Source organism: Homo sapiens, chromosome 1, assembly GCF_000001405.40.
Source record: "Homo sapiens chromosome 1, GRCh38.p14 Primary Assembly".
Lineage (NCBI taxonomy): Eukaryota > Metazoa > Chordata > Mammalia > Primates > Hominidae > Homo > Homo sapiens.
In genome coordinates, this window is record NC_000001.11 from 228,894,992 (window position 1) to 228,909,742 (window position 14,751).

General features: G+C 45.4%; 3 annotated features.

The window, feature by feature from the left end:
- Positions 3,773–4,022: an enhancer, noted in NCBI's record as "active region_2698". NCBI's record gives its function as "activates an Ori minimal core promoter by ATAC-STARR-seq in GM12878 lymphoblastoid cells {active_cell/tissue: GM12878}" and the evidence as "EXISTENCE:reporter gene assay evidence [ECO:0000049][PMID:35858748]".
- Positions 4,597–5,252: an enhancer, noted in NCBI's record as "H3K27ac-H3K4me1 hESC enhancer chr1:229035335-229035990 (GRCh37/hg19 assembly coordinates)". NCBI's record gives its function as "activates a minimal SCP1, AML or CMV promoter by ChIP-STARR-seq in primed H9 embryonic stem cells {active_cell/tissue: H9 hESC(primed)}" and the evidence as "EXISTENCE:reporter gene assay evidence [ECO:0000049][PMID:30033119]".
- Positions 8,091–8,385: a silencer, noted in NCBI's record as "tiled region #14212; HepG2 Repressive DNase unmatched - State 2:TssF, and K562 Repressive non-DNase unmatched - State 21:Repr". NCBI's record gives its function as "represses a minimal TATA promoter and a strong SV40 promoter by Sharpr-MPRA in HepG2 and K562 cells {active_cell/tissue: HepG2 | K562}" and the evidence as "EXISTENCE:reporter gene assay evidence [ECO:0000049][PMID:27701403]".

A 14,751-nucleotide genomic window follows, 5' to 3' on the forward strand; every position in this document is an offset into this window, starting at 1 on the left:
AAAATTGTCTGGAAGAGGACAGCCACTTTTGTTTTTACAGTGTGATCCTATTTATGTAAAACTTAATAAGTTCAAATAGTATTATATATTGCAGACTTCATACTATACAAAAAAAAAATCTCACAGGAGATTGAATTTCTAAATGTTGAAACGAAAACCTTAACTTTAGGGGAAAGTATAGGAGAATATTATCACCTTGAAACTGATAAATACTAAAATGTAAAACTTCAGCAGAAGAAAATAAATAAAAAAGAACCAACCACAGTCCAGAAGAAGATATTCACAACGCACATGACTGAAAAAATGATTTTTATATTCTCATATATTAAAAAACAGCCACTTTTTAGAAGTACCATTTGATCCAGCAGTCTCACTACTGGGTGTCTATCTAGAAGAAAAGAAGTCATTATACAAAAAAGATACTTGCACACCCATGTTTATAGCAACACAATTCACAATTGCAAAAATATGGAACCAGCTCAAATGTCCTTTAATCAACGAGTGGATAAAGAAACTGTGGTGTATGTATATATATATATATATATATGAGGGAATACCACTCAGCCATAAATAGGAATGAATTAATGGCATTTGCAGCAACCTGGATGTAATTGGAGACTATTATTCTAAGTGAAGTAACTCAGGAATGGAAAACCAAACATCGTATGTTCTCACTCATAAGTGGGAACTAAGCTATGAGGATGCAAAGGAATAAGAATGATACAATGGACTTTGGGGACTTGGGGGAAAGGGCGGGAGGGGGTGAGGGATCAAAGACTACAAATTGGGTTCAGTGTATACTGCTCAGGTGATGGGTGCACCAAAATCTCACAAATTACCATTAAAGAACTTACTCATGTAACCAGATACCACCTGTTCCCCAAAAGCCTATGGAAATAAAAAATTAAAAAATAATAACAACTTTTAAAAAAATAAAAATAAACAACTTTATCCTGTCAAAATAAAATTAAATTAAATTTTAAAACAGCCACTTTTAATTAAAATGAGGTCCCTCAGCGGGTCAGCCCAACCGCTCCCCCTGCCTGCCCCATGCTGTGGAAAGTACATAAATGTGATCTATTTCCTTCTTTGAACAGTCTGGAAATAATAGAATCTGTTATGGGCTGAAAGGTGTTCCCCGAAAATGCTGATGCTGAAGCCCACACACTCAACGTGACTCTATTTGGAGGCGGGGCCTATGAGGAGGAGATAAAAGTTTAAGTGAGGTCAGGAGGCACCTTGACCTTGGACTTCCAGCCTTTAGAACTTCAAGAAAATGAATGTCTGTGGTTTAAGCCACCTAGCCCGTGGTATTTCTTTATGATAGCCCAAGCTAATATGGAGAATGTTTATTTAAAATCCCTTATTTTGAAAACGAGGAAATTAAGGCCCTCAGATGTGATTTGGTGGAAGTCAACATTGCTTCTGAGTGACAAAGCCAAAACCAGAACCGGATTTAGAAGCCAGGCCATTCCTCACCACACCACAATGCATGTTTTGTTTTTGTTTTTGTTTTTGTTTTTTTTTGAGACAGTCTCTCTCTGTTGCCCAGGCTGGAGTGCAATGGCGCAATCTTGGCTCACTGCAACCTCCACCTCCCGGGTTTAGATTCTCCTGCCTCAGCCTCCTGAGTAGCTGGGATTACAGGTGCCTGCCACTATACCTGGCTAAATTTTTGTATTTTTAGTAAAGACGGGGTTTCACCATGTTAGTCAGGCTGGTCTTGAACTCCTGACCTCAGGTGATCTGTCCACCTCGGCTTCCCAAAGTGCTGGGATTACAGGCGTAAGCCACCATGCCCAGCCCACAATGCATGTTTTAAACCTAAGCTATCTGCACCCAACCTCAATAGACAATGCTACTCAATTTACTTGCATGAGTTTCTGCTATCTTCCTGAGCATGTCACAGGATGAGACAACACAGAGTCGAAGCATTAATCAAAAAGCGATTTTGATCCAGAGCTTTTCAGGCTTGCAAACTCAAATGTTTCACGGACTTAGGCAGGTAAATGTGTGAAGTGGCTGGGTAAAAATCAATAAGGAGTGGTGAGGGTTGTGGCAAACTGGAGCAAGCATGCTCTGTAGAGCACTTACATTCCAATTTTTTAATCATTAAAGCCAAACACATCTGGCTTGTAGGTCATCCATCTGGCACCTCTATCTGGGTAGGCAAGGCTAGGCTGCAAATATAAAGAAATCCTGAAGTCTCAGTGGCTTATCACAATAAAAGTGTATTGCTCACTTATGTCACATACTTATGTGGTTGGAGATTGGGGCAGGCTCTGCTATACACAGTTGTTCAAAGATCTGGCTCCTTCCATCTTGGGGAACCACCAGTCCCAACACACGGCCTTCAAGGCTGTAGCAGAAGGAGGTGAGACAGAGAATGGGAGGAAGCTGGTTGACGTGCCAGGCTTGGAAGTGGCATCTGTTGTTTTGGCCCTCATGCCACCATCCAAAACCAGGCCTACGGCCCCACCTAGAAGGAGGGGAGCTGGAAGGATCCCTTGGTTTGCAAGCCCATGAAGAGCCTGAAACAGTTTGTGGGCAGACAGCATCATCTTGGCCTCACCTGTTCACAGGTGCTGTTCCATGCCCCAATGCACCTGAGTCTCACAGCTCACTCTTGGAGGCAGGCTGCATTCATAACCTCACTTTACTGATGACAGGAACCGAGGACCACAGGTGTCAGGCCACCTCCCCGGATCACAGAGCCACTAAGAGGAAGAGCCAGGATTCCTTCCCTGTAACCTCTCACCCAACCCTCTCTTCAGCCCAGTTCCCAGAGCCACTCACCATGTGGGAAGGGACAGAGGGAGGTTTCTGGCTGTGGCTATTCCATCAAGAAGGGGTATGGTGTGGTGGCAATGCCGTTCCTCCAGCTCCTAGTACAAAGCACATTTTCTGGCTGAAAGTCTTCAAATGGGTCAAAGCCATCTTTCATCATGGCTCCTTCTCTGTAAACAGAAGACACCTAGATGTGGAGGGAAGAGATGGGAGCTGGGGCTGAAGACTGCCCTGTGGCTTCCAGGAAAGTCTGTGGATTCTGTTGAGGGCCGTGATTAAGAAAAACCAGATCCGCGTCTACCAGTGTCGCCGGCTGTTCTGGGCAGTCCGGGTCAGAGGGCTCAGGGTTGCCCCTCCAGATGTGGCTCCACCAGGCCGGCAAAAGACACGGCGAAGGGAAGGGCTGGGGAAGCAGGAATACCTGAGATGAGGGGTGCAGCCAAGATTACAGCATTGGGTTGTAGGACTTTGGAAATGGGGAAGCTACTCTCAGTGGTATCAGGCTGGAGAATGGCAAAAAGGCAAACAAATAACTTATTTTGCTTTATATTTTTATTTATTTATTTTTGCTTTGTTCCTTTCATCTGGGAATCTCAGGAACTCACCTGGAATGAACTTCTCGTCAAACATGGCATTTGAAAGCCACAAGGAGCTCAGAGCTCAGCCAGCCTAGCAGCTCAGCTGGGAGGGGAACGAGTAGTGAGAAGGGTGGGCCAGCGCCTGACGCAGCTTTGCCACCAGACTCTCTCTTTTCCAGAGTGACCCTCCTGGTCAGCAGCCTCGGCTCCCAGGGATGGACTCCCAACATTGTGCCATCTGGACTCTTTTTGTTGAGAGGAACCAAGTCTCATTCAGGCCACCTCAGCTCATGGGTTGAGACTGGTATTTTAAGAACACATATGACTCAAAGAGCCCCAGAAAAGAGGAACAACCGGGCCTTTTATAAACACTGGGGCTGTGGTAACAGGTAGGCCTCTCAGGCTGGCCTGGACAGTTCTTTGAGCTGCTCCTGCAGGCCCTGCTGTCTGTGCTGCCTTTAACCACCTCCTTATCTCCACTTCCCATGGCTGGGGCCCTGCACAGCTGACCCTGGCCGCCCCATTTGGCAGAAGCAGGTGCGAAGTTTGCCTTAGTGAGGAACGGAGGCCGTGGCATGAGCCGTGGTTGCCGGGTCCAACACGTGGAGAGAAGCACTATTTTACTGGAATCCCTGACAACCCTGAAGTAGCTTTGTGCAGGAAGGATGAGGTGAGGTGAGAGGGGTCACTCATCTCAACCCAGGGTTCTTAATTTGTGGGGCATGAGGGAACCTGGGACTTCCTTCGAGTTGTGTAAAAATGTTCTCTGTATGGGCATGAGCACACGTTTTCTGGGAAGAATATCTGTAATAATACTTCATCACATTCTCGAAGGGCTCTTGACCTACACGTGGCTCTGCTCCCGCAAAGCATGAGAGGGGGCTCTGCGATCCAACTGCCTCAGCCTCCCAAAATGCTGAGATTACAGGTGTAAGCCACTGCCCCTGGCCTGCCTCCTGAGATTTTAAAATGCATGTTTATGGGTTTGCTTGTTTGTTTTCTGATTTGTAAAGCAGTCCATGCTTATGTGATAACAGAAGAAATAACGTAATAGAAGGTGACATGAAAAAGCAAAATACACAATTGTTATTTCTACTCTGCAAAAGTGGGTATTCACCAAGTGTCTGCTATGCTTCCTGGTGGCTGAGGATACAGCAGAAGAAGAGAACAGACCCGAATCTCTTTCCTTGTGGAGACTGCTGTCTGGGTGGGGAGGCTGGGTTTCCGTAACACAAAAACAGATAACAGCCGCAAAGATGAATGACCCTTGGAGTCTTTTCGGCGGTGGTAAGTGGTAGGGAGGGGCAGGATGGCGGGCGGCCTCACCACCAGGCAGCATCAGCAGGCACAGGCCTCACAGATCTCTGGGAGAGGCTGGCTGGGCAGAGGAGGAGAGGAAGGGCAAGTGCCAAGGCCCTGAGACAGGAGTTTGGGGGCGAGTGCGAGTGGCTTGCAGAGGTCAAGAAGAAGCTTCCAGATGTTCACCGATGGAGCCCGACAAATGAGGGTGAGAAGGCACAGCCCCCACAAGCCCATCAACTTAGTGGGCTCGGAAGTCATTTTGTGGTCCATCTGTCCCCATAGGGTGAACCAGTCTGGGATCCTCCATCACCCAGAACACAGGCAGATTCAGGGGTGAGAGGGAAAGAATGTGCTTTTTGTGCAAGACTTGGAAAATATGGAAGAGAGAAAACAAGGAACTGAGGGTCTTCAGGTGCACGGGCTCACTCTCCTCAGCTTCAGCCAGAGGGACAGGCAGAGGAGTCATTATCCAGCACCGCTGGCCACCAGCCCGACCGTGAGCCCATCTTCTTTCTGCTTTCAAAGCAGCTGCATCATGTGGCTTCTCCCCGACCTCCCGAGCTGTTGTTAAGTACAACTCTTCATGTGATCTCAAAGAGATGCAGTCATTGCTCCACGGTGTCATCGAAAATACTCCAGGGCAGCGTAGGTGGGTGGGGCGGACTCATTTACACAAAGACCCGAGGCCTCTGGGGGGCCATCCTCTGGCCAGCTCTCCTGTGTCTGATGGGGCTGAGTCTGGGCGTGGGGTGGGGATTTGCCTTGGCCTAGGGCTTTTACGGGGTGAAAAACCCTCTGCTTTTACTTAGGGTTGGTGAGATCATTATCTAACAGCATGGCCATGGGAGAGAGCCTTTTCCAGCTTCCTGAAGTGATAAAAGACCACTCTCCTGATGAGAAACGAGCTGGAATGAGAGTGCTGCTTGGCTCTCACTACAAACTACAGTTCCAGTCAGCATATAATGAGCTACACAAATGTATTTGGGACTAGAAGTGAGCGCAGAAAGCAAGCATTCTGGCAGCCTAGGATGTGAGTTGTTTTGACTTTTAAAAAATCATCTTTGAGGTTGAAAATACAAGTGTTTTTTTTCCTCCTTAACATAAATATGTGCTCATTCTAAAGAACCCCAGGCATCCAGGCAGCACATACCGTTTCCCGAAATGCACCAAGAGGCTGCTGCAAGTGGATACGAACATTTTGCTCCTAACACAGTCCTCCCTCACATTTCTCTCTGGAAAAAAACCAAAAAACCAAAACCAGCTGCTGGTAGAAGCTACTTCTTAAAAGGACACAAGGCAGGTTCAAAAAGAATCATGGATTTTTTTTTCTACCCCAGTCTCCCACCCAGCCACAAAGAACAAACAATAAAACCCAACCGAAAAACAGGGTTGAGAGACGTTTGCTTTGACTTTCTGTATGCTTTCTGGCATTAAGCACTCACTTGCGGGCTGACAGTTTGCAGCATTTATAAAGCATCTTAGCTTTCTCATGGGACTGGTATGAGATCTTGCCACCCACCCATGGAAGCTGTAGCCCTCTTCACTGCTGCGGCCACCAGGGTGTGGGTGGAGGGTCGGCCCCACCACACAACTGTAACTAGGCCCACAGGTTGGGTGTGGAGAGCTGTGCATTAGAAGGGATGGGTCCATCTGGGGCCTCTGCAGGTGGCAGGAAGAGACTGTAACGTCACCCATTAGTAGCCCTAATAACATTATGAGGCTTAGTCCACTGAATCCAAAACTTTTCCTTGGTCCATGGACCCATGTCACACTTTAATGCAATCTTACAGAAAAATGCAAAAACCCAAACTGCTAGACCAAGTATTTCTATCTGCATCCCAGCTTTCTTACACTGTCATTGCAGGGAATACTTGGGAAGAAGAATGTTCTCAATGGGTGCGAGCTTGACTCAGCGTCAGCCCCTCCTAGGCTGCCACTCTTTTCTGTTCAGATCAAGTGATCAGTGCTCTGGCATATTGGCGGGGTCTGCAGTGATGTGGGTGGTCCTGTATATTGAGAGGCCTTTGGTAACCTCTCACTGGAGCAGGGTCAGCTGGTCCTGGAAACACACTTGACACGCTGGAACCTGCGGTTTGAGCTACCATGCCTCATGGGTCTTATTTGGTATTCAGAATATGTCCTGGAGAGCAGGGAACTTAGGAGTGTAACAGTGTCATTTGGCAGGGACCAGAGACTAAGCGTTATCTTCTAAGGTGAGCTCTTCCTCGGGGCCCCTTCCACACAGCCTCCAGGTGGCCACTCCCAGCTTGCTGAGTGTCTGCAGAGCCCCTGCTATTGATGTGTGTATTTAGATCTCTTAGTATCCTCCCACCTAAGTAAATGAGGGGTCTCAGCTTAGCCTACACTGTGCTTCCCTGCATGTACATGCATGCACACGCTCAACACAGCACATACACACACTCAATACCCAGCACACACATGCATATACACCCACAGGCTGAGTGGCCAGTGCTGATGGGGAGGAGTGCTGATAGAGAAAGATTTGGGGGCCAGTACCCTGGGCTGAGAGCTTACATGTGGCCCTGGGATTGTGGCCAGTGTCTTGGAGAAAGAGACTACAGGTAGCGTAAAGTGGGTTGTTTTCAGGAAGGTCTGTGTTACACTCTGAGAGTATGCCACGACTCTTTAAGGCTCAGATGAGAAAGAGTGACAGAGTTGGGAAAAGGGGCATCCTCCTCACTTTTGCACAGGACACAGTGCCACCCTGGGCTGGGAGACTAGAAGGGAAGTTTGTGTCATTCAGTGCCATGGGGGTTCTTCAGTTTCAGGAGATGTCCCCCACCCCCCGGCAGGGTGCTAACCATGGAGGGCAACCACTGATGCCTCCAGCAGCTTCTGGACAGAAGATCCTGTAAGGAGCCAGAGAAGAAGGAGAGGGGCCTGGTGCTGTGCATGTGTGAGGTTGTTCAGGCTCCTTCAATGGCCGGTGCTGTGACATCTACATGTCTCTCTCTGTGTGTCTGTCAACCTACCTATTGACTGTCTATCTACCTACCTATCCTATCATATCTATCTCTATCTTTCATCTATTTATCATCTATCTACCAATCTCATCTATGCATTTAAATATGTATGTATGTATGTATCTATCTATCTATCGATCGGTCGATCGATCATTTATTTTTTATCTTGATTACACCAGATAAGCTGAGGATTTTGCAGGTAAGCACGTGGAAGCTAAAGGCCAGCAAGACTTGGTTAGGAATATCAATGCGTCCTCTCTCACGGCTACCAACCAGCCAGTGAGGGATTTGCAGTGTGACAAAACAGGCCTAAGCCCTGACTGGCTGAGGGAGCCAGTGCCTTACAGGTTAGTCAACCAAATGGGGATAGTGGAAAAAACAATGCACAAAAGGTTTCTGAAAAGCAGAAATCAGGGTGCCCTGGAGTAGTCATGGCAGTAAATTAGCGGCAGTCAGTGGCATGGTGCCCACAGCTGGGCTTTTCCCGGCCTCTTTTTCACATGCCACAGGGGACCGTTTGCTACAAGGGAGCCTCAGTTGGCACCACTCCACTGTTTATATTTGGTCATTTATTCCCAATCCTCATGAGTCAACCAGAGAGCTCTGCCAGTGGTGATGATTCTGCCGCGCTGTTTTATCTGGAGCAGTGCCATGGACTCTGTGCTGATGTATAATCCCTGAAGGAAAACAGGAAAAGATAGCCGTACACAGGCAAAATATGTACATATTTCACTGGCGCAGCCACAAAGCCAGAATAAGTCAACTAGTTCAGCTGAAACAAAAGTCAACCCAAACACTGAACCACACAAGCCCAGGAAATTTTGTTTAAAAAAAGAAAGATATGAAGAAGGAGGAGGAAGATGCGACATGCTCTGGGGAGCCCTGTTTCAGACTCTGTTCTGGTGATCCTCACGCAGGTGAAATCACTTTCCACAGTGGGCTTGGGGGCTTCGGGTGCTAACTCTTCCCCACTGTCTCACTGACAATGGTGGGCGCCCTGGGCTGATTCCTCACTATCTATCCCAACACTCTCCTTTCCTTCACCCAGAGCCTGGAGAGCTAAACCCTATGTTTCCCAGGCCCAAGGCTCCAGATGTGATTAGTATCTGCCAAGCAAATTCCCTCCTGGAAGGGTTGATTTCAGAGCAGAGTTAAGCCAAACAAGAGGCGGGACACAAGACTTCCAGTTTTGCAGGTGTGGGACTGTTGCAGAAAGATCACTGTTCCATGCAGTGAGCAGCTACAGGAACAGTGCTTCGATTCCTTGGAGGCAGCTTTCCCTGCGCAGCTCTGCAGACTGCAGTGCTAGTCGCGGCTTCCTGATTCAGCAGGCAGCCTCCTCAGAGCAGCAGGAGCTGTGGGGACTGTGGGGACTGTGGTGACTTTGGTGACTTTGGCCACCAGTCCTGCAATGTGGCTTTGGATGTAATTCCTAGAAGCTTAGCCTCAAATCTGTTTCCTCTGCTCTCCCAATGATTCTGTAAACTATTTCACACCCTCAATATTTCTTCTCCGCTTAAACTAGCGAGAGTGTATTGTATTCTGTGCAACTCAATGCTGATGAATCAGAGTATAAAATGGTTTAGAGCGGGGTTTGGTGGCTCACACCTGTAATTTCAGCACTTTGGGAGGCCGAGGTGGGAGGATCACTTGAGCCCAGGAGTTTGAGAACAGCCTGGTCAGCACAGTGAAAACCCCATCTCTACAAAAAATTTAAAAATTACCCAGGCGTGGCGGTGCATGACTGTGGTCCCAACTACCAGGGAGGCTGAGGTGGGAGGATCACTTGAGCCCAGGAGGTTAAGGCTGCAGCAACTATGAATGGGCCACTGCACTCCAACCTCATGACAGAATGAGACCCTCCCTGCCCCTAAAAAATAAATAAACCAGATTGGCCATGCTCACTTCACAGTGAATAGGATGGCATGGAGGCCCAAGGCAATCTTGGTAAGTTGCTAAGTTGAAGCCTAATGTGAATAATAAAGGAGTTTGCCAACTTTTAACTTTCCCAATTTCAGAAATTCTCACTAATCCCCCAACATTTATCCCCTTTGAGTTCCAGGAGGAATTCTTCCCCACATTTTAAACTATGCTGAAAGTATGAAACACACTGAGCTGGATATGTCTGTTTGAGATGAAATATCCTGGGGGACCAGTAGGGTCTGGACATCGTATACATGGAGACAGATAACCACTGTCGCTTATATAGGTTCTCTATGGTCAGCAAATATCCCTAGGGGGAATTGTCTCACAGCCATTCCCTATGTGTTGTATTTGGGTCAGAAAGCAGTTCTGAGGTTGCTGTTCTCTCCATGATCTGGCCAGTTCTCACCTTATCCAGACTGTGGTAGGCAGAATAATGCTCCCCAAAGATATCTGTGCCCAAATCTCTAGAACCTGTGACTATGTTATGTTACATGGCAAAGGGGAATTAAGGTTGCAGATGGAATTAAGGTTGCTAATAAACTGACCTTAAGGTAGGGAGATTATCTTAGACTATCCAGGTAGGACCAATGTCCTTGTTCAAGAACAAGGGTTCTTAAAAGTAGATGAGGAAGGCAGAAGGGAGATGTGATACAGAAGAATGATCAGAGAGATGCAGCATTGCTGGCTTTGAAGATAGAGGAATGTGTTCAGAACTAAGGAAGGGGACAGCCTTTAGAAACTGGAAGAGGGCAGCCAGGCACGGTGGCTCATGCCTGTAATCCCAGCACTTTGGGAGGCCGAGGCAGGTGGATCACCTGAGGTCAGGAGTTCAAGACCAGCTTGGCCAACATGGCAAAACCCCATCTCTACTAAAAGTATAAAAATTAGCAGGGCATGGTGGCAGGCACCTGTAGTCCCTGCTACTCAGGAGGCTGAGGCAGAAGAATAGCTTGAACCCAGGAGGCAGAGGTTGCAGCAAGACAGAGATCACAGCACTGCACTCCAGCCTGGGTGACAGAGCAAGAGTCTGTCTCAAAAAAAAAAAAAAAAAGAAAAAAAAGAAAAAAAAGAAACTGGAAGAGAGAAAGAAGAATTCTCCCCTAGAGCCTCCAAAAGGAATGCAGCCTGATCAAAACTTTGACTATTACCCAATGAGAACTGTGTCAGACTTCTGACCTCCAGAGCTGTAAGATAATAAATTTGTATTGTTGAGGCCACCAGGTTTGAGGAATGTGTTGCAGCAGCAGTAGACAACTAATACACAAACCTTAAGCCTTTCATTCATGTCACTCCATCAAACTCCAAGCGCGTTCATGGCTAAGGAAGCTGCTTTGGGGTTGTGGCTGCTGCAGGGGAAGGGTTTGCAAATAACTTTTCATTCTCTAGGAAGACTGGCCAATGGAAAAACCATGCTTCCCTTCCCTAAGGATGAATAGAAATCTTTAGTAACTTCATTTGGATAGAAACAATATGTAAATGATATGTAAAAGCAAATTTCTCAAAATTTATGAGGGCTGTATTGCATAATTCTATACAAACAGTCTGGTGTGTGGGATCCTATTTCCCTGAAAAGATGAAAAGATAAGCTATCCTATGGTGAAAAATTGAAGGCTGTATGAATTGCAAGGGGGGGAAATTATAGTTGAAATGCTATTATGAATCTTTTTGACCAGACCTGCCGAATATAATATTAAAATTTAAACACACTGTCTCAAACATTGCTCAAGAACTTCACGAAACCCCTTCATGTGGTCATGCCCTGTTCTCATGGCTGAGTGCGCGCTCTGATGAATGTTCCCAGAGGACAGGGACAAAGTGAGTGTCTCAGCTCTCTCTGCATGATCCTTTTAGGAACTCTTCTCACAGGCCCCAAGAGCAGAAATGTAACAAACATTTATTGGCCAAAAGGCACTCAGTTCGTGACTACCACTTGATAAAATGTTCGTCTGTGCATTAAAGCTTGCCTTCAGTACCAAAGAGCGAATGAAGCTCCACAAGGTCTTCATCTAATAAGCACCCCGGGAAGACCTGGCCTCAGGAGAGTCTGACTGCATGGAGTAAGAGGGCTATGCCCAGGCAGTGCCAACAGCAGAGGGCTAGGAGCCGGTGGCGAGAGGAGCAACAGAGGAGGTCAGGGTGGAGTGAGGAGGGCTACCAAGAACTCTGAGCACCTGGGGGCAGCCCAGAACTGGAAGAGCAGGGGAAGTGAGGCTGGGGAGGTGGAATCATAAAACAGAAAGGGTTGAAAGCCCCTTAGACTGGCAGCAGTAGAAATAAAGAGACACCAAATATTTGGGAGCAGGTCTTCATCTACCATTCTTTACCCATTTGAGATATCTACAGTCAGTCCTCCATATCAATGGGTTCAGCCTCTGTGGGTTCAACCAACCACAAATGAAAATATTCTAAGTAAATAAATAAAATAACAACACAACAATTAAAAATAATGCAAAGAAAGTACTACCATATGCTAGCTATTTACATAGCATTTACATTGTATTAGGTATGAGAAGTAATCTAAGATAATTTAAAGCATATGGGAGGATGTGTGCAGGTTACATGCAAATACTATGCCATTTATATAAGGGACGTAAGCATCTGCAGAGTTTGTATCTGAGAGGGTCCTGGAACCAATCCCCTGTGGATACCGAGGGCCAACTGTATATATTTTTCACACTTTAACATACTGAAATAGCGCTGTGTCTTACAACTGATGTTGTTTTAAAATCACAGTCATCGTCTGCCCAGAGATGAACATGGTTGTTACTTGTGGCAGCAGGATTGGACCACTGCAGTTCTTTGATATTTCAGTCAACAAACACGCACAGTTTGGGGAAGGATAGAAGTGAGCCCTAGTTAATATCCAAAACCTTTTCATGGAATTGCATTTCAGCGGAAAACCTTTTATTAATTGGCCATGTCTGGCAGGGCCACAAAAGCACCAGAATCAAACCTCACAGAATGGGGATAAGGGCCCTGGAAGATCCTGGAAACAGTCATGGGGCACTGTGAGAAGTGCTGCATCTCAACAGCAAGGAAAAAACACAAATGAAACTTTGAGTTAAAAATGACTTGGAAGAATCAGACTCTGCCTGTGAAGAAGTTTTAGGAACATTTTAAACCAGTTCATTTTAATCATATTTTCCCTTTTATGTCTGCATAAGGGTTCTATTTAGGCACAGAGTTTAAAAATATAAGTCTAAAAGAGCTCTTTCAGTAAGCGCAAACTAAAATTTCTAATAAAAAAGCATTGTGCCACAGTTTAATTGACAACATTGTTTTCTTTCTTAGTGTTCATAAAATAACAGTGCATCTTATAATCAATACTGTCTCGGATCTTATGAAATATGATAATTTTCTCTTTAGCTGTGTTAATTTGCTATTAAACCCACCAAAGGAATTTTAACTTTTAGATACTGTATTTTTATTTCTAGAAGTTCTATTTGTTTTTGTAAAAATATACTAGGTCACTTTTTATAGATTCCTGTTATCTGCCACTATTTTTAAGCCTGTTTTATTTCTTTAAACATGGTAAGCATCAGTTTGACTTTGTCTGATAATTCCCATATCTAAGTATTAGAGGAATATTTGTTCTGTTTATTCTTTCAGTTGTTTTTGTCTATGATGAATTGTTTCCTTGTGTGCTTGGTTATTTTTGACTGTGTACTGCTCATTGTCCTTGTAAAAGTATTTATAGGCCGATGTTGAGAAACTATTTATCCATAATAGAATTTGGGATTCATTCTCCCAGACACCTGAAGGCACTACCAGCCTGGGACTACTTTAAAATAAATTCATAATTAAAGGTTTCCTGTACCACCCAGGTGATGTGAGGCTATGATGCACATCCTTATGAGAGTCACCTTGTGATCACAACTCCTTAGGGGCTGTTATTGTTTTTCTGATATTTTTCCTTTGCTCTGATGATCACCAAGAGAACCTTACCTGCAGCCTCGTACAGGTGGAAAGTGAGGTGGTTTTATTTCTAGTTCACCATTGTCCTTAGGCTGTATAGACCTCTGGAATCCCAGCTTATGTGGAGAAGGTATCCTGTTAGACTTCCCTCCTTTGGTCAGCACTGGGCCTTAACTTCTGGCCCCTCAAAGCTGCTAAAACTGAAGGCCAGGCTTGCCTGGCTTGGCAAAGGACGTCGGGCAGAAGCAGCTTCTCCTCTCCTCTTGTTTCTCTGTTTCCCCTCACCATAGGCTTTGGCCTGGGAGTTTCCTACAATTTTGTCAGCTATTTGACACTGTTAAGGAGACATTTAGAATATTTAAATTAGAGCTTTGGTCGTTTTCATGGGGAGAATTGGTTTCAAATAACTCGGCTGAAATTTCTATAAGAAAAAAATCTCTGTTGTTATTTTATTATTGTTCTGTCTGACAGTACCTGGTTCATAGACTCTGAGGCCTTCTACATATGTGGTGGGAATCAAAAGCAGAGAGACGAAGCTGCTGCAGAGAAGGAGCAGAGTGAAAGAGCAAGCCCCTTATAGGGGTGGATATCGCAGAAGAGATGAATCCCATGAGCCTGGGGACTGGCATGTCCCTGTAAAGGCAGTTTCCCCACTGTTGTCGGGGAAAGAGGCCTGGCATTCTCCCCTACCTGTGACTTTGATCTTATGACACTTGGTATCAATTATCTCAATTTGGTGCCCAATCAAATAAGTTGTAATATCTCTTCACTCTTTCACAAGTGGATCCCTTGACCACATGGAAACTCTGGGAGAGTGGGACTATACATTGTCTTTCCTTTTGTATTTCACTCAATTTCAAAAAGCTCAGAGGATCTAGAGTCTGGAAAGGGCAGGGGTAATGGATGGATAGGGAGAGATTTTAAAGGATGCAAAATTACAGCTAGATAGAAGTAAGTTCTAGCATTCTATAGCACTGTAGGATGACTATAGTTAACAGTAATACACTATAGTTTCAAATAGCTAGAAGGAGGATATTAAATGTTCCCAGCATGAAGAATGATAATTGTTTGAGATGGTAGACATGCCAATTACTCTGATCTGATCACTTTAGGTATCAAAACACCACTATGTACCCCATAAATATGTACAATTGTTATGTCAACTAAACAAATACAATAAAAATAGGAAAATGTTAAAAAGAGTACTATACCCTTAATTGAATACTAAGTTGGTTTGGTTGGTTTGCAGTGTCTACTAA